The sequence below is a fragment of the Homo sapiens genome, chromosome 3, assembly GCF_000001405.40.
Source record: "Homo sapiens chromosome 3, GRCh38.p14 Primary Assembly".
Classification (NCBI taxonomy): domain Eukaryota; kingdom Metazoa; phylum Chordata; class Mammalia; order Primates; family Hominidae; genus Homo; species Homo sapiens.
Genome location: NC_000003.12, coordinates 37881095 through 37899427, shown reverse-complemented (window position 1 = coordinate 37899427; position 18333 = coordinate 37881095). Strand labels below are relative to the sequence as shown.

General features: G+C 40.3%; 1 protein-coding gene across 5 annotated transcripts in view; it reads right to left on the bottom strand.

Moving 5' to 3' along the window:
• CTDSPL (CTD small phosphatase like) overlaps window positions 1-18333 on the bottom strand; it is a 122590-nt gene that overhangs the window by 85042 nt on the left and 19215 nt on the right. The window contains exon 1 of one of the 5 annotated variants that reach the window (XM_017005520.2): window positions 1200-16842. The exons of the other annotated variants lie outside the window; for them this stretch is intronic. Within the exon in view, the coding sequence (XP_016861009.1) occupies window positions 1200-1233 (34 nt within the window). The 5' untranslated portion in view covers window positions 1234-16842. Of the gene's footprint in view, window positions 1-1199; window positions 16843-18333 lie in introns of those variants that run through there. 5 annotated transcript variants of the gene reach the window in all.

Below are 18333 nucleotides of genomic sequence, written 5' to 3'. Positions count from 1 at the left end.
AGACCCTTGTGGTGGGTAAGAGTGGTTATGTGCTACAGACTGCAGCATGGCCCCTTGGCCCACAGGAATAGATTTCCTATGATCTCTGGCTTTAGGATGGGCTAGTTACTGAAGGCATGAAAAGTCACTTTACAATTTAAAAGATGGCATTCCTCAGGAATGTTTAGTCTCTCTCCCTAGGTGAGCTCCTCCATTCCCATGAGTTTAAATATCATCTATATGCTTGTAGGTCTCAAGTTTACATCTCCAGCCAAGACTGCTCTTCTGGGTTCCAGCCCAGGGTATCACTGCCTACTTAGCACTTCTCCCTGGAAGTCCCACAGACATTGCAAACTCTATTTTTCCAAAACAGAAGGGCTGGTATGGCTCTCCATATATGACCTGATCCTGCTTACTTTTCCAAGTTTATCTCAAGTTTCTTTCCTCCTCATTCACTCACTGGGATCCTGTTGACTCCTGGATCATGCCAAGCATTTTCCTGTTGCAGGGCTTTGGCACCTGCTGTTTTCTTTGCCTAGAATGCTCCTTAATGGTATCTCTCCCCATAAGATATGAGGCTTCTCTGACCACACATAAAACTAGGCCCACCCTGATATTTTCTATCACAGTTCTCTATTTATAGCTTTCCTAGACCTACATAATCTGTAATTAATTAATTTTTTGGTTCACTTGTGATTGCCTGCCCTCCTCACTACATAGTAAAGCATATGAGGGCAAGAACTCTGTTGTATATCATTGTTGTATGTTACTTGGCACATTAGCAGGTCCTCAGTAAATATCTGCTGAGTGACCAAATAGAATGTGAGTCAAGCAAGCAACAAAAAACATTTTATAAATGGAATACATGAGATCATGTGTGTAAAGCTCTTGGCACGGGGCTCGTAGTAAGCACTCAATAGATGGCACTAGTAATATTATTATTACTATTGCTAGGTTAAACCATGTGATATTGCTAATATTTGAACTCTCTTTACCTGCAAAACAGCAACTTAACGTGGTCCAACCTAATATTGCTATTATTTGGACATGATATGTGGCTTTTAAACATGCTGTCTGCTAACAGCCAGAAAGCATACATTTCAGTACAGTATTCTTAAAATGGAAGAAAGTCTCTGATGCAGCACTCTTCATTTTCCAGCTAACACGAAGAAGTACCTTTCTCCTCTCACTGGGGCCTGGGCCTAGGGGTACATCCTTACCTCTTTGAAGCAGCTCTGATCTGAGATCTTTCATTCTGGGGTTCCCTGACAGAAGACCTTCTTTGTAAAACACCCTGGTGCTTCTGAAATTACTCTGGACTCATTCCGGCAATAAATGTGAATATTGACCATCTTTGCCCAGTTCTCAGATGACAAATATACGAGGCACTTGAAGAGTTGTGGCTTTGTGTTCAAATGCTTTTTATGAGGTCAGGGCATGGTTTCTCCCTAATAAGATGAAAAGTGAATAAAAGATAAACACATTTTCTCTATGACAGAGCTCTCTAGTGTATAACCGGCACTCCAAAAATAATCACACTTGGATTTCCGGAACTAAGTCTAAGCCAGTTATCACACACAACGGCAATGGCAAACTTACTAATGGCAGTGCTCTGTGCTACTTTTCTTTCTGTTTTTCTCACAAAAAGTTTGCATTCCCATATCGTACAACTTTTTCAGCTTATCAGTCCTTTCTCACTTCTGATGCTTGACCCTAGTGGTCTGAAAATAACAATTTTCCAGCATCCTGCCTTCACTCTTCACACAAGCAGATGTCCATCTAGGCCTGGATGTTTAGAGATGAAAAGTTAACTTTTCACCGCTCACCCAATGGTTCAATACATTGTTTGGGATTTTTATTTCTGAGACAAAGATTAACACACTTACTACATCAGAGATAATAGAAAGATGGCTAAAAACTCATACAGTAAGAGATTTTCTTTTCAAGAAATGAAATTATACTGTCCCATAAAATTTTAACATCCTACTTGCATTTGGAAATTAGCAGAATGACGTAAGCATTCTGTGAAGAGTATCATTTTAAATTGGGAAAAAAATCAATAAGTAAAATAAATTGGGATTATCCAGACTTACCTGCGACATGTGCAGAACTACTAGGTCTTCATGAGAAACTTGGTAAGCTTCCCCCTATAGCCCCCATCTAGCTTAACAGCACAGTCATTTTTTTCATAACGTGAAAGTTCAATAGCTTAAAATGTTACAGCTGTGAAAAACAACATCACCACACAGCAACAGCTCATGAGTTCTGACACTCTGAATATCGAATCTGTATTACTGTATATCTTACAGTACAATCCAGACTTTATGAAGAAGAGTTGGCTAACAGAGCAAAATAATACTGCAAGAGGAAATATTTAATCTGTGCAAGAAACAACTCTTTCAAGCAGCCATCAGATCATAGAATGCTGAGCTGAAAGAACTGTGGAGAGCCTCTAGTCTAACTCCTTCAAATTAAAGTGCCAGCCTGGGCCCTCTACCAAGAGGATGTGTCTGAAATAAAGCCTCACAGTGAAGGGGAGAGGAGGCTGAGGGGGCAGGGTCCCACCTGAAAGTCCTGCATTTCTAAGTATCACACGAATAACTGAATGTTGGCCAGGCATGGTGACTCACGCCTGTAATCCCAACACTTGGGGAGGTCGAGGTGGGAGGATTGCTTGAGCCCAGGAGTTCAAGACCAGCCTGGGAAACAAAGTGAGGCTCTGCCTCTACAGGAAATTTTAAAATTAGCTAGGTGTGGTGGTATGTGACTGTAGTTCCAGCTACTCAGGGGGTGCTGAGGTGGGAAGAACCCTTGAGCCCGGGAGGTCAAAGTTACAGTAAGCTGTGATCACACCACTGCACTCCAGCCTGGGCAACAAAGCAAGACTCTGTCTCAAAAACAATTAAAAATAACAAAATAACACAATGTTAAAGCATTCACTTCCCACCTCACTGAAAGACATGATGTCTCCTACCTATCTATTGAATAAAACCCAAAATTGGTTTTCAAGGCCCTGGTCCTACCTTTCTAGCTCTTTTTCACATCACTCTAAACATCTACACAGACTCCTGCACCTTGGATATCCTTCCGCCCCCTTGGTGATGCCCTCTGTCCTGCTGTTTTAAGATACCCCTCTTTCATGCAGCCTCCGTGGCTCCTCAAACCTAATATGCGCTTATTCTACTGAACAACACCCCAGCACGTCTGTACCTCTCTTAGAGGATGTATCAAATTCTGCATTCAATCATTTGTATGTTTGTATCATATCCTTCGTTAGGCTGCAAGTTTCCAGAAGGCAGGGAAAACATCTGATTCTTACTGATTGATTATTCCACAGCCCTTTGTTTATAGGAGCGCTCAAGAAACTGAGAACAAATGTGTTCATAACACATTTTTCTTGTCTGTTTATAAAAGCAGATCCCAATGAAGCCTCAACCAACTGCATTTCAGGAATTCTGTGTACATGGAATCAAAAAGTACAATTTTACTTCACTTTTTCTTCTCAATATTTTATTTTGTAAATGTTCAAACATACGCCTGTCATTAACTACAGTTCACTATTAGTTTTTTTTGAGGTGAAATTTACATTCAGTGAAGTGCCCAAATCTTAAGTGTACATTCACTGAGTCTTGACAAATATATATACCTGGGTAAAAACTCTTACTTCTCTATAGGAAACTACTGTTTTGATTATTTTTCCTCTACCATAGACTAGGTTTTCCATCCTAGACTGATTCTCCTGGAGAAAACTATAAACTATTAACAAAATATAAAAAATAACTACCTGGAAGCACTGTAAAAAGATAGACAGTAAGCAGATTTCAGAGCGGGGAGAATGACACTTGGAAAATGGAAAAAGATCTAGATATGTTTTTCAGTTTTATGGCTTTCAGCCTGGTGTCAGGCTGCCACCAGTGCCATGCTGCATGGCTAAAACTCCAATAGACAGCATGTAGTGCTTGGGTGACAGACTTTGGGACAATCACAGCCACTACAAAGTGAAAGGGGAGAATCCAGAAAGTACAGAGCCAGAAAGGGAGAGCCCCAAATTCTATGTAAAAACTGCCCAAATCTTTGGCTGACCACTGAACTATGCATGCATGGGGCAGACGCTAAGCAACCTAGCTAAGGATAAAATAACTAAGCCGAGAATTGAGGTAGTGCCTCGATTCAGAGACAGAGTTTGTGGTTTTAGCTCAACCAAGCTGAATGTTGGCAATGGCAAAAAACAAAAGAAACAATAATAAACAACGACCCCTCACTTCCCGGAAAACCTGTACAGAGGAATATAATAGAATCCAGAGTCTCCACAATGTAATATGCACAATGTCCAAAATACAATCCAAAATTATTTAACATACAAATAAATAGGAAAATGCAACCCATCCTCAAGAAAAAAGACAGTCAATAGAGAATCCAAGATAACCTAGACGGTGCAATTAGCAGATAAGATTTTTTAAAATAGCTATTATAATTGTGCTCAATGGCATAAAGCAATATATGAAATATATAGGAAACCTTGGCAGAGAAAGTATAAGAGAGAACCAACTGAAAGTTCTAGAATTTAAAATATAATATGTGAAAAATTTTAAAAATCACTGGATGAGCTTAACAGAATAGTGATAACAGAAAAGGTCAGTGAACTTGAAGATAGATTCATAGAAATTATCCAATCTGAAGAACAGAAAGGAAAAAAGATTGAAAATAAATGAACAGAGCCTCAGACCTGTAGGACAACATTGAAAGGTCTACCATAGGTTTAACCATAGTCCCAGAAGGCAAAGAGAGAGAGAATGGGACAGAAAAAACATATTTTTTTAATGGCTGCAAAGTCTTTAAATTTACAGATTTAAGAAGTTCAATAAAGTCTAAGCAAGATAAACATAAAGAAAGCCAAAGATAAAGAGTAGAAAATCTTGAAAGTAGCCAAAGGAAAATTATACATTACATAAAAGTAACAATAATTCCAGTGACCACTCACTTTGAATCAGAAACCAAGGATGCCAGGAGATCGTTATAACAGCATTTGGAAAAAAAAACTTGGCTGGGCCTGGTGGTTCACGCCTGTAATCCCAGTGCTTTGGGAGGCGGAGGTGGGAGAATTGCTTGAGGCTAAGAGTTTGAGATCGGCCTGGGCAATATAGCGAGACTCTAGCGAGACTCTCGTCTCTACAAAAAAAAAAAATAACTTTTTTTAAAGTTAGCTGGATAAGGTGGTGTGTGCCTGTAGTCCGAGCTACTCGAGAGGCTGAGGCAGGTGAATCACTTGAGCCCAGGAGTTCAAGGCTGCAGTGAGCTACGATTGTGCTACTATATACTCCAGCCTGGGTGACACCGTGAGATCTTTTCTCTTAAAACAAAACAGAACTTCATCCCAGAATTCTATATCCAGTGAAAATATCCTTCAAGTATGAAGGTGAACTTTACATTAAGTTTACATTACCTTTACATTATCTTTTAGTCAAAACTTTTTATTTTATACTAATGGTTAGCCACGTAGCAGTTTGCATACCAATTCATACAAACTTCAAAACACATTTAAAAATTAAGAGTAATTAAAAATATCATGTGGGCTGGGGGGAAAAATCAACAAAACAATCTGTCACCCATTTTTTCTTTAATACTGAATAGTGTGCAAGAAGTTACTTTTCTGTAATCTGCTCTAAGACTGAGAATCATTTATACTGGTCTATACCGCCCTGGCTATCTCTTCTTCCTCCTTTTCCGCAATTATACCACTAAGAAAATCAAGGAATATTTATACTTATTCCTCTAAACATTATCGAGACCTAGAGAAAGAATGTAGAACTGACCACTAAACAACCACCTGCTAACCACCTTCAAAATGAAGGGTAGGCAAATGATTAGGCATAAAGAAAGAAAACAGGCAAGGTATCCTGAAAGGACACATTCGAGTTGGAGAATTAACTGCAAAGGTTGAGATTGAGTCAATATTTGCATTAGAAATCTCAACCTGAATTAACACATTTGTTGGACTTGTTAGTCCAGAAATAGTTCCCCAGAGAGCTCTGGAAGTGTGATCTCCAGCACATCTGCTCTGACTTTTATGAGTTCTCTTAATACTTTTTAAAGCTGCTGTGAAGTGTTAATTTTTGTTCAAAGAAAGATTACCAAAGAACCTGTTGGTAACACAAAGATTTCCTTCATACTATTCTTCTGGCCTTCCTTAAACCTAGAAGCTGTTAACATCCCAAGCTGATTGCCAAACACAGTTATTAACTAGCCTCTGACATCCAAACAACAGCTGTGTTCTGTCCTGCTAAAGGGCAGCCTCACTCAGACAGTGACTCTCCAAAGGTCAGCTGTGTCCTGCAGCAGGAAGTCCACTCCACGGTTGGTGGCACATGCCTGCACAATGGAACAGTCTATGTTTGTCCCAATTCCCTTTCCTCCCTCTTGGCTAATCTTCACTGGTTGTAAATGTTCAGCTTGCCTTGCAGAGGAAGTGGGGGCCTTAAACTTCATCCTGCATGTTCACCGCTGCTCTCACTCTCAAACTCTTTTCCCTAAAGATCACCTTAGAGCTGCCACTGAAAATGGTGCTGAAGACAAAGGACCAGAAGATAAATTAAAAACACTTGCCTCAGAAGCAAGCACACTTATTAAGTATTTATTGTCAGACATCGTTCCAGCTTTCTTATACTATCCCCCCCACTTCTGTAAGGATTGACCCTCCCATTTACAGGTAGGGAAAGTGCAATTGCTCAGAGAGTTTAAATGAACTGCTTATGGTCACGTGGCTTTGGAGGGACACCATAAGAACACTCAGTTCTCTCTGACTCAAGCTTAAGGGTCTTTCTACTCTGGCAACCTTCAGAAGTGGAGATACCCTTTAGAATTCCAACTGGATTAAAAAAAAAAACTTGTCATATTGATGAGAGGTAGGTGGAAAGTTGATTTTAAAATTTATTGGAGGAGTAAATGCATAGAAATAGCTAATGCCATTTTAATGGTGATGATGCCTTTACAGGTATTAAAAAAATATGTTATAAGACTAAAGCATAAAACAGTTGGTATTTGTTTACACACAGTACCTGGCTGATAGTAAGTAGTCAATAAATGTTAGCTATCATTATTATAATGTTAGGTGCCTTTATATGTATTCCTTCATTTAGCCTTTTTTAATAGGAACACTGTGAGAACAATTTTATTCCCATTTAACAAATCAGGAAATTGAGGCACAGAGAGTTTAAATAACTTGCTAAAGTAAGTAATTGAGTATCTAGAACCTGAACTAACTCTGTCTGACTTCAGAGTTAAAGGTGTTAATGCAGCACTGATACTAATTATCAAAAGTCTGGGGAACCTAAGTGTTCATCAGTAGGGAGATGCATAGATGAATTAAGGTGCATCCATATAAAGAATATTCCTGAAAATGTGGCCGATCTGTAGGTTCTGATATTAAAAGATGTTTACAATGTATGTCAACAGAAACAAAAGTTGTATTGATCTCATTTTTATTAAATGATTATATATGTATTGTTATAGCTGTTGTAAAGTACATAAGCACATATATATGTGTGTACATGTATGTACATGTATGTACACACACATATATATGTTGTACAAAGCTGTACAGACAGATATACACGTACACCATCCTTATTCTCTATGGACCAGTACATCATCCTTATTCTCTATGGATAGAATTAGGGTGAGGGATGGCAATCCTTTTTTAAAAATTTTTTATTGTTTCAACCTGTTACAAGCATGTACTGCTTCTATAATAAACAAACAAACACATTTTAAGAAAGTGACTCACTATCTGAAAAATGAAAGATATTCTTTTTAAAAAATGCTTCCATTAACAGGTTAAATGAAAACTAATTTTAAGTGCAAATGGGTCCTTCCCTACTAGGAATTCAGTACAACAGTTTCCACTATAAAACGGCACTCTAAGCCTGCAGTAAAAGAGGACAGTCTGGGTTTTAATGCACACAGTCTCCACAAACAGCTGTGTCCTCGCTTGCAGCTGGCCTGGTGCCCTGCACACCTGTGCGTAGGAGTAGAAGGGCCCTTTCCTTCACAACCACTGCTTTCAGCCAGTGCTGGTCAACAGAAGTAGGGTACAGAGAAGTGAATGGCTGCTTGAATATCACTGTGGTCTGGGTGGTCCAATTATAACCAGACACACAGTGAGCCCAGACATGGATTAATCTGGTTTGGGGTAGATCCCAGATATATAAGGTACTGTAGGTCAGCGGTGGTGATGTATGGAAAGGTCACTCCCTGGGTAACGGGTAGGGATGGAAGGAAATCTGGTTCATTCTCTGTTCTCTAGACTGATTACTGGATCAAGTCAGCCTAGAACCATATCCTAACCCCAGCATGGAACAGGGTAGGCATGGGAGAGCCTAGTGTGCCCACTGGTTAACTCTACCCCTGGGGCTGGCCTAGAGATATACTCTTGTGTCATACTAGGCAAGCTTCAGACAGTGAAGTAGAATTGTCATTTGATGCCATATTCCGCTGGTGAGTGGATTTCAGATAGAATTTCCTTGGAGTTGTCTCAATAACAAGGTGGCAAAACCGTTTTCTAAATCCATCTATGAAGGAAATTTTCTCCTTCCTTCCTCTTTCCTCCCTTCCTGTTATTAGGTATACACTCCCGCTCAGCCTTATAACCTCATCTGAAACTTGGTATGGCTCTGGCAGGAGATAGCCCAGTTACCTGCCAACAGACAGGGAGGACATCCTGTGAGGAGGAGCCTCAGAGCACGGAGCCTGGATCTGATGGAGACTCTGTGCTCTACCCACCATGCTGGCGACGCCTGTGGTGGCAAAAGCTTCTTGGATGATACTGGTTTGAGTTTTCTATTCACAGTCAAACTTTTAACTTTTACTTTTTTATCAAAACAAACAAAATCACATGGTTTAAATCAAATTGCTGAAAAAAAATTTTAAAACCCACTACTTTGAGGCAAACACTTTCAAAGCTTTTAGCTTTTTTTAACCAAATATACTAATATTGTCATTTCTTGATTTCTCTATTTTATCCTTCAACTATTAATTTCCTGTTTAACTGTTTACATTTTAGCTCTTTTGCACCACCACATTTTCCCTTCCCTTACATATTGTAAGAACTGTTCATTAAAAAGCTAAGTTTTGTTTTATTTTCCCTTGTACAACTCCCTTACAGTTAACATTCCCTCTTTATTTCATTTGCTTAATATTCTATGCATCTATATTCAAATTTTTCCAAATATCCTGCCTTAACTCTGTGTGGGTGTGCGCGCATACGTTGAGTGTGCATGCATCCGCACATGTGTGATTTTCCAAATGGTCGGTTATATCAGATCATTTGGGAATTCCCAAGTAGCTGGGCCTACACCACTGGGCTTCTCATGGCTGTTTTCCTGTGTTGGTTTTCTGGCTCCTGGGTTCTGTTTCTCTGTTTTTTATTTATTTCCTCATTTTGATGAAGTACTTATTCTGGTTGTTTCCTAGAAAAAAATCCGCAGGAAGCAAAATTTTCAGTCCTTGCAGATTTTTAAATGTCTTTGTTCTGTCTTTACACTTGATTGAAAGTTCAACTGTATATAAAATTCTAAACGGAAAATAACTTACCCTCCAAATTTTACTGACTTTATTCTGTCTTCTAGCTTTCAGTATTGATGTTTAAAAACCTGATAGCATTCAGATTTTCATCAGTTTGTTTGGGACAAGTTTTCCCCCTCCAAAAGCTTTTATGATTATTTCTGGCATTTGGGATGTCGATTATAATGTGCCTAGGTGTGGCTAATTTTTTCCATTCATTGTATTGGCCTCTAGATTGAAAACATCTTTCAAAATAGAGTGTCTTGACCTTCAGTTCTGAAAATTCTCTCACATTATTTCTTTGATAATTTCCTTTTCTCTCTTTTCTGTGTTCTCCTGGAACTCCTATTAGCCAGATATTGAACCTCCTGGATGTGCCATTTAAAGTTTTATTTGTTGTTTCTCCCCTATTTTCTGTCTCTTCATCTTTTCATTCTACCTTTTGGAAACCGCCGATTTCATTTTCTAGCCCTTCTATTACATTTTATAATTGTTTAGTTAGTGATATTTTTATTTTCCAAGATCTCCTTCTTATCCTCAAATGTGCTAAGTTTTAAAAAACTTTATTACAAAAAATTTCAAACAGTTTGATATCCAAATTAATGCCTTATATATAAGGGCTTGAGGTCAGATCGTGTTATGTCAACGTCCTCCCTCTACGGCACAGTGTGGTCCACGTCCTGTATTGAGGAGGGAGTACATGAATAAATAAAAGTTACAGCTAGCTAAGGCCTCCCTGCTTACTGCCTGCTACTCAGCCATCAAGCTAACATTCTGATCTCCCATGGTGCTTGGACAGGCAGCAATAAAAAGAAAATCTTCATTCCAAATTCTGTTATCATTTGTAAATATTAAAATTTGATTTATTTTAAAAGACCCAGAGGTAAGATTATACATTTCAATCCAACAAGGCTTACCTGGGCCTCATCCACTCCCAGGAACTCATTCCACAGCAGCTTCTTGCTAAGGAAAATGGTAGGCTAACAAGTGCTGAGGCAGAGCCAAAGCTTTCAGCCTGCCCTGGCTGGTGGCAGTGCCCTTTAGCACTCTCCTTACCCCTGGATCTAAAGGCCCCCAGCTACAGCATCATATCCAAAAAGGTTGGGCAACAACCAAGCTATTCTGGCCACTTCTAGGAGATGAGGATGATGCTAGGCCTAAAGATGGTCCCCCAAACAAACTGGCTTTCTGGTCTCTAAAAGTCTGAGCATTATGTTATGATAAATACTACGCAATCTATGTAAACCAGTCAGTTCCCTTTTAAAGAGATATCATACAACTCAAACAGGGTGGTCTAAGTATTTTAGTGGTTAGCACACAGGATCACTTGCTGAGTGCTCACGGACCAGCATCTCCTACCCAAAAACAGAAGTAAGCTACTGCAACCTGCTTTCTGACACCCTTCTAGGGCTCTCCTGTACTTGGAATTTGGAGAATGGCACCACTAAGTCGGAGCATCAAGAAAAGTTAACTTGGCAACGTGATACAGGAAGGTGATGCTTTGGCAACACTCTAAGTTGAGTCTTTTGCAAAAGTTTGATAAAACATATAAATTCTAGAGACAAATTCAGCTTTGTGTCACCTTAGAGACTGATGCAATCTTACTTTTAGCTTAAAAACATTATCAAGGAATAAGAAAACATTGGTAATATGACAAATATAAGGCAAACTTTCATTCCTCCCATTGGTGTTAGCCTGACAGTAAATGTCAGGAGATGTTTTTCCTGCTGTCAGGCCATTTATAATGTCACAGGGCATGCGTGGATCCTTCAGACCCAAACTTTATGAAGACTGTAACTGCTGCCATGTCTTTCATCTCGCACAGCCTTCACTCCAACACTCACACATCTTTTCAGAACACCCTCTCCCCCACCTTTGGCTCTGCTCATCTGCGTGGTTGCAGCCTGTTATGTAACTGCCACCTTATCAAAGCACCAAAATGTGGAATTGCTGTATATTTCTTAAATTATGCAAGGCTTGACCTTATTGCTGGGAAATACCTAGCATTTTTAAATTGTCTTCAGAGGTCCAGGCAGCATTTGGAGGAGCTATTACTATATCGCTTGTCATTCTTCGGATCTATGCTCATGCATGCAACCAGGAGATAATTGATAACTTTTAGACTGATAACTGCACAGACGCATACTGAGTTATCTCTTTGCAGTCTAAGTATTTCACCCCAGTTTTCAAGAAATAATTTTAACAATAGCAAGCCCTTATTGAACACTTACTATGCGCCAAACACTGTTTTAAGCGCTTCACATGCATAGATTTGTTATCCTTATAACCATCCTGGGAGCTAGGAATTATTTTTATTTTGTAGAATATAATTATTTTTATAGTTTGAGTTCTTGTTTTATAGATGAGGAAACATGTTAAAGGTCACACAGCTAGAAACCGTGGAACTGGGATACAAACCCAGGCAGTGTGCCCCAGAGCCTTGCCCTCATCACTATACAAACTGCCTCTCTACCTCCTAATCCTGGCCCAGGTCTCCATGTGCTGGGGTTTGGCAAGCTCAAGGCTCATGTTTGGATTGGGTTTACTTGGGTGCAGACAGTTTGGGTTTGGTTAACCTGTGGTGCAGACAGTTGGCAGGCCACAGAGGCTAGGCATCCACACTTCAGAAGGTGCTCACAAACACCTTGACAAACGGAGCGTTTCCCACAAGAATTCTACTATGCTCAATATTGTGTCACAGTATGCCCAAGAGTACTTTGAAAAATAACCTGGCCCAAGCTTGGGCCCAGGCCAGTTTGGCTGAGAAGGTACACAGGCTGCAGTACTGAGCCACTGCCGTGACATCCTGGATGGAAATCTGATTGTAGAGTAACCCAAACCAATTCCTGAGATGAGAAAGCTTCAGAAAAGCTTCAGTGTCCACAGGGATGATATCAGTGAGCTCAAAAGAGAAAGCCGAACCAAAGAATGAGCTCTAAAGCAGATTTTCTCAAAGGATGATCTGAAAGCTCCCTGTGTCAGGATCATCCAGGGAGGTTTTCTTGGAAATACTCAGGTCTTACCCTAAACCTACCACATCAGAGTTTCCCCCTATTGGGCTTAGGAGTGTGGATTTTGATAAAGCTCCCCAGGTAAATCTGATATATTCTAAATATTGATAACCACTGTTTTGGTCTCTGGGGCTTCCTGGCCAGGAATCTATGAAGAGATGTATTATGAATGCAATTTTCAATTCAACAAGTAGCATTCATGTCTGAGAATCAAGGTACTAGGCTCAGCTCTAATGGATTGCTGGTTGACTTTGGGGATGTCCCTTGGTCTCTCTGAATATCAGGCACCTCATTAGTAAGATCAGGGGAATAGGTTCAACTCAGCTCTACATCCTGTGCTTCCTACCTAAGCCTTTACTGGAACAGAACTAATGTAAATCCTAAAAGGGGTGATCAGATGAGTAACTGGAAGGGCAAAAATCACTATGGGCTAAAGTAGGGTATGGGACCTCGACAACTGGCATAATCTGGATGGGACTGGTCATTGTGATAGGGCAGACATCCTAGTGAGGGGACAGAGACCCAGATGTGAGGCTGTGAGGGAAGTGGGTCGGGAGGGAAATGGGAAGGCATGTCTAAGTAAAGCGGAAGGTTTGGAAACAAGGGTGGAAAGGTAAGATGGTTCTAGGTTACAGGCACCCTTGAGGGCCAGGGAAGGGATGTGGAATATGATAAAATCTAATAAGAAAAGTGACTGAGGAAAAGTCATGTTTTGGGAAGATGACTTTGGCAGCCCAAGTAGGACGTGAAGGGTGGGGTTCAGGCAGCCCTGGGGGCTCAGTTAGAGACACTTGGGAACCAGAGCACAAGCTCATTCTAAAAGCAATGTGGCCTTTGTGGCCTTGACCTGAAGCTGTGGCAGTGGGAAATGGAGGGGAGGAACATGTCAACTGGAAAAGCTCCAGGACCCTGAGATTGTGGGTAGTTCTTACGCTTCTTTTGTTTACTTGTTTTTGCTGTTTGCTTGGCTGTAGTTTCAGTTCTCTCTGTAGTAAGCAGACACTACTTTGTGATTAAAAGAAATATACCATTTGGCATTTCCTTTGGAAAACCTGCATATAAATCTCCACCCCTTTGCAGATCAGCCCTTCCTAGCACTAGTCTGTCTCTCTTCAGAACCTACTTTCTCACATCTTTTTTCCTGCTCACCTGTACCCCAGACCCCTTGTCCCTTTGCTAAGAAGCTTCTGCAGAGCATTCTTCTTCGTTTCCAGATCATTTTTCCTGCCAGTCTCTGGTACTGCAAACCTGGTTTTGCTCTTCAGCCTCGAAGAGAGACTTCTGCCAGGGTCCAGGTTCCCAGCCTTGGGAGAGAGGGTCAGCAAACTTCCTGCTACCCCACAGTAGCTCACACCACGACACTACTAGGTCTCTTCATCAAGCCTTCCCTGAGGAGTCAACTTTCTTTCCATCCTTGAAGACAATCTCTACCTGCCTCAAAATCTTCTTCTCCAAAAGAATTCCTGTCACCTCCCTGGGAAATGCTCTCATCCATGAGGAAGAACACTGAAACTTCCAGCAACACAACCCTCTGACCTACCCACATTCTATGATCGTTCCTTTACTTCCATGGCTACCTATTAAACTCCAGGTTGCCCAGAATTCCTATAAAATGTCAAACTCTGAAACCCCACTTTGGCCATAAACTCCTATCCTTTGGCCTCTTGGATACCCATATTCCAACTAATTAATTAATTATCCAGTCCTTGGCACTATCTCTAATTCACTCTTCTCCCAAGGATTTGGATTCTAAAGCCAATCATTTAAATTGCCCTTATCAGTATCCTGAATTCTCTCATCCTCTGAAGCTCTGTGAAGCCTGCTGGGCCACCCTCTAACTCCATACCAATCATGCTCTGTTGGGCTCCCTAAAAATGCGGGCTTATAGTTCCAGTAAGGCCTCTGATCAACTCAGCTGCCCACACCCCATCAAATCCCTTTCCTGCTGTCAGTTCTATTGGAGACTCTTATCACTTTCCTCAAGACCCCTGTTCTACTCTGATTCCCACCCCCACCTCCTGGCAAATGGTCTTACCTCTGATTTCACCAAGAAATTAGAAGCCGTGGCTTATGAACACTCTAATTTTCCCTTCTCTCCAGCTCTGAACTTCTCCATATCTTCAATCATCTTTTCCTCCTTTCTGGAAAGAAATATTGTCCTGTCCCTTTAAGGGTAACTTCTGTGTCTGAGTACAGGCCCTCCTATCTTTCTAAGGGCTTTACTCAGCCGATTACCCCTTCTTTCTTACAGCTCCAAACTCTCCTTCCCTGACTGTTCCTCAGGAGGCAACAAAAATGCTTTGACACTCTCCTCCCCTACCACCCTCTCATCTTGCAAACTGCTAAGATCTTTAGAAAGTTTTGCTATTTTTGTAGGAATGATGCATGCTCATGCAAACATCTTAAACAATACAGAAGAGCAAAAAGAAAATAACTACTACCCAACATCCTACCACTCATAGATAACTGCTGTTAGAATTTTGATAACCATGGTTCCAAACCATTCTCTATGTACATATTCATTTATATTGATGTATATGTTTCAACACAGAAGAGCCTACACTGTATATGCTCTTCTGCAACCTGCTTTTTGTAACTAACGATATGTCCCTTGCACTTTTCCATGTCAATATGCTATGTTTTATAACATGAGGGCATTCTAGTGAATTTAATTACTTCCTTGTCCCCTATTGATTTTTTTCAATATTTTTTGCTATTATAGGTAATCCTGTGTTGAATATTTCTGTGAGATTATTTACTTATGGCAAATTCCTTAAAAGGGGTTGTTGGATGAAATATACTAACATTTTATGTTTGATATACACTGTTTTCTAGAAAAGTTGTATAACTTGGACTCCTATCAATAGTGACCATTTCCCTAAACCCTTAAGGACCCTGAGTTTTGTTAATGTTTACAATTTTTACCTAACTAATATCAAGAATGAAAAAGAAGACACTGTTATAGATTCTACAGACATTATAAAGACAAGAGGATATTTTGAGCAACTTTCACTCATTATTTTGAAAAGAGATGAAACGGGCAAATATCTAGGAAGAAGAAACTTGTCAAAACAAATACAAGAAGAAAGAGAAGATCTGAACAATCATGTATCTATTAAGTAAATTAAATCTACATTTGAAAACTCTCCCATAAAGAAATTCCAGGCCCCAAAGGGCTTCACTAAAGTATTCTACTAAGTATTTAAAGAAGAAGTAACACCACCTGTTCACAAATTCTGCCAGAGAATAAAATTCCTCAACCTGTTTGAGGCCAGCATAACCTTGATACCAAGACCTCACAAGGACGTTTAAAGAGAGGAAAATCACAGGCCAACCTCTTTTGAACATGATGATAAAGTCACCAGCACTGTTAAGTACTACAGTGGTTTGTTGCCTACCTTCATAACTGAGAAAAATGCCATGTTTTAGTTAGAGGTCAATGAAAATTAAGATGTAATATTTGTCTAAGTTCATGGACTCCCTGAATTCTATTCGTGGACCACTTGGGAACCTGTGGACTCCAGGTTAAAAATTCCTACACTAAAGACACAGTGATAGTGGCAGCTTAGACCACGGGGGAGCCAGTGCTCCAGCCCGAGTGGAAATCCCAACAATTTAAAGCCTTAGTGGAGCTTCTGTGCTGGGGATGCCACAGGTCTTCAAACACTTGGTCCAACTGGATTTCTTTTAAGATGACTCTTCTTAATATTCCATTTCACATATGTCTTTGTTCTCTTTCCAATATGATTTCACTTTGCTTTGTATAAAGGCCCTGACTAAACATTCAGTTTCTTTATTCCCAAAATAAATTCCCATGATAACAAGGTAGAACTGGCAAATCATTCTTTTGATGACACCCATACTATCTGGCTACACGTTTGTAAATAGAACATGTTAAACCATTTGTGGCTAGAGCACTACACAAAACCAACTTGGCTCCAAACCAAGCACGTAGAACACTGTTTGGAAGGTCACCTTAGAGAAACATATTAAGACTGGGGTCTGACGTGGCTCCAGTGTGCATACCTGGCACAGCCTGAACTGTCACTGAGGATCACCTGAACCCCCTTTGGAAAGCTCAATTACCAAGTTTTTTGGCAATCTTCCTGAATACTCTCCTATTGGAGGAAAGAACCAACTAAATGTAATAACTGCATTTTAACCTCTTCTTTTGAGTTCATCTGTATGTGAAGGCAGTAATATTTTTAAAATTTTATCCTAATACTCAGCTAGAGTCCAGGATTATTATTATTATTATTTTTTGAGACGGAGTCTTCCTCTGTCACTCAGGCTAGAGTGCAGTGGCTCAATCTCGGCTCATTGCAACCTCTGCCTCCTGGGTTCAAGCGATTCTCCTGCCTCAGCCTCCTAAGTAGCTGGGTTTACAGGTGTGCACCACTGCATCCTGCTAATTTTTGAATTTTTTTTTTTTTTTTTTGAGTTAGAGTCTTGCTCTGTCACCCAGGCTGGAGTGCAGTGGTGCGATCTCAGCTCACTGCAAGCTCTGTCTCCTGGGTTCATGCCATTCTCCTGCCTCAGCCTCCCGAGTAGCTGGGACTATAGGCACCAGCCACCACACCTGGCTAATTTTTTGTATTTTTAGTAGAGACGGGGTTTTACCATGTTAGCCAGGATGGTCTCGATCTCCTAACCTCGTGATCCGCCCGCCTCGGCCTCCCAAAGTGCTAGGATTACAGGCGTGAGCCACCGTGCCCAGCCAATATTTGTATTTTTACTAGAGAAGGGGTTTCACCATGTTGGCCAGGCTGGTCTCAAACTCCTGACCTCAGGTGATCCACCTGCCTTTGCCTCCCAAAGTGTTGGGACTACAGGCGTGAGCCACCACGCCCGGCCTAATATTTTTCATTATGAAATATTAAACATACAGAGAATAAATATCACAATTATATATTGAACTACCCAGCTCTAGCAAATCTTAACATTTTGGTATATTTATTTCAAGAAAACAGTTCATAAAAAGCAAAACATTAGAGATACAACAGAAACTCCCTGTGTACCCCTTCCTGATCCCTATCCCTCCTTTCCTCTCTCTCCAAAAATAACTATTATAAATTTGTTATTCACCATGCGTAAACATTTTTTTTTTCAGTTTTTCAACACACATATATATCCATACACTATATAGAAACTATTTTTTGCACGTTTTCACACTTTATATGTATGGTACCATGCTGTATGTATTATGGAACTTGGTGTTTTTTGTTGTTGTTCAACATTACATTTTTTAGTTTTAGCCATGTTAGTAGATGTTATGTTAGTGTTTTCCTTTTAATTTCATTATTTGAACATGTATCAATTTATTTATCTAGGATTTTTATTTTTATTTTTTTGAGACGGAGTCTCGCACTGTCATCCAGGCTGGAGTGCAGTGGCGCGATCTTGGCTCACTGCAACTTCCACCTGCTGCATTTAAGCGATTCTCCTGCCTCAGCCTCCCGAGTAGCTGGGATTACAGGCAGCCACCACCAGGCCCAGCTAATTTTTGTATTTTTAGTAGAGACAGGATTTCACCATGTTGGCCAGGCTGGTCTTGAGCTCCTAACCTCAAGCGATCTGCCTGCCTCAGCCTCCTAAAGTGCTGGGATTACAGGTGTGAGCCACTGCACCTGGCCAGGATTTTGTATTTATATGATCTCTTCTAAACAGGTCTCAAAAGAGTATATACCTAAAGAGAATCAAGGGGCCTATAAGAACTAGCCTCTTTTTATTTCTAATAGTTCCTAGAAAATGAGCACCAGGTTTAATTAAAGCAAGCATCTTATGA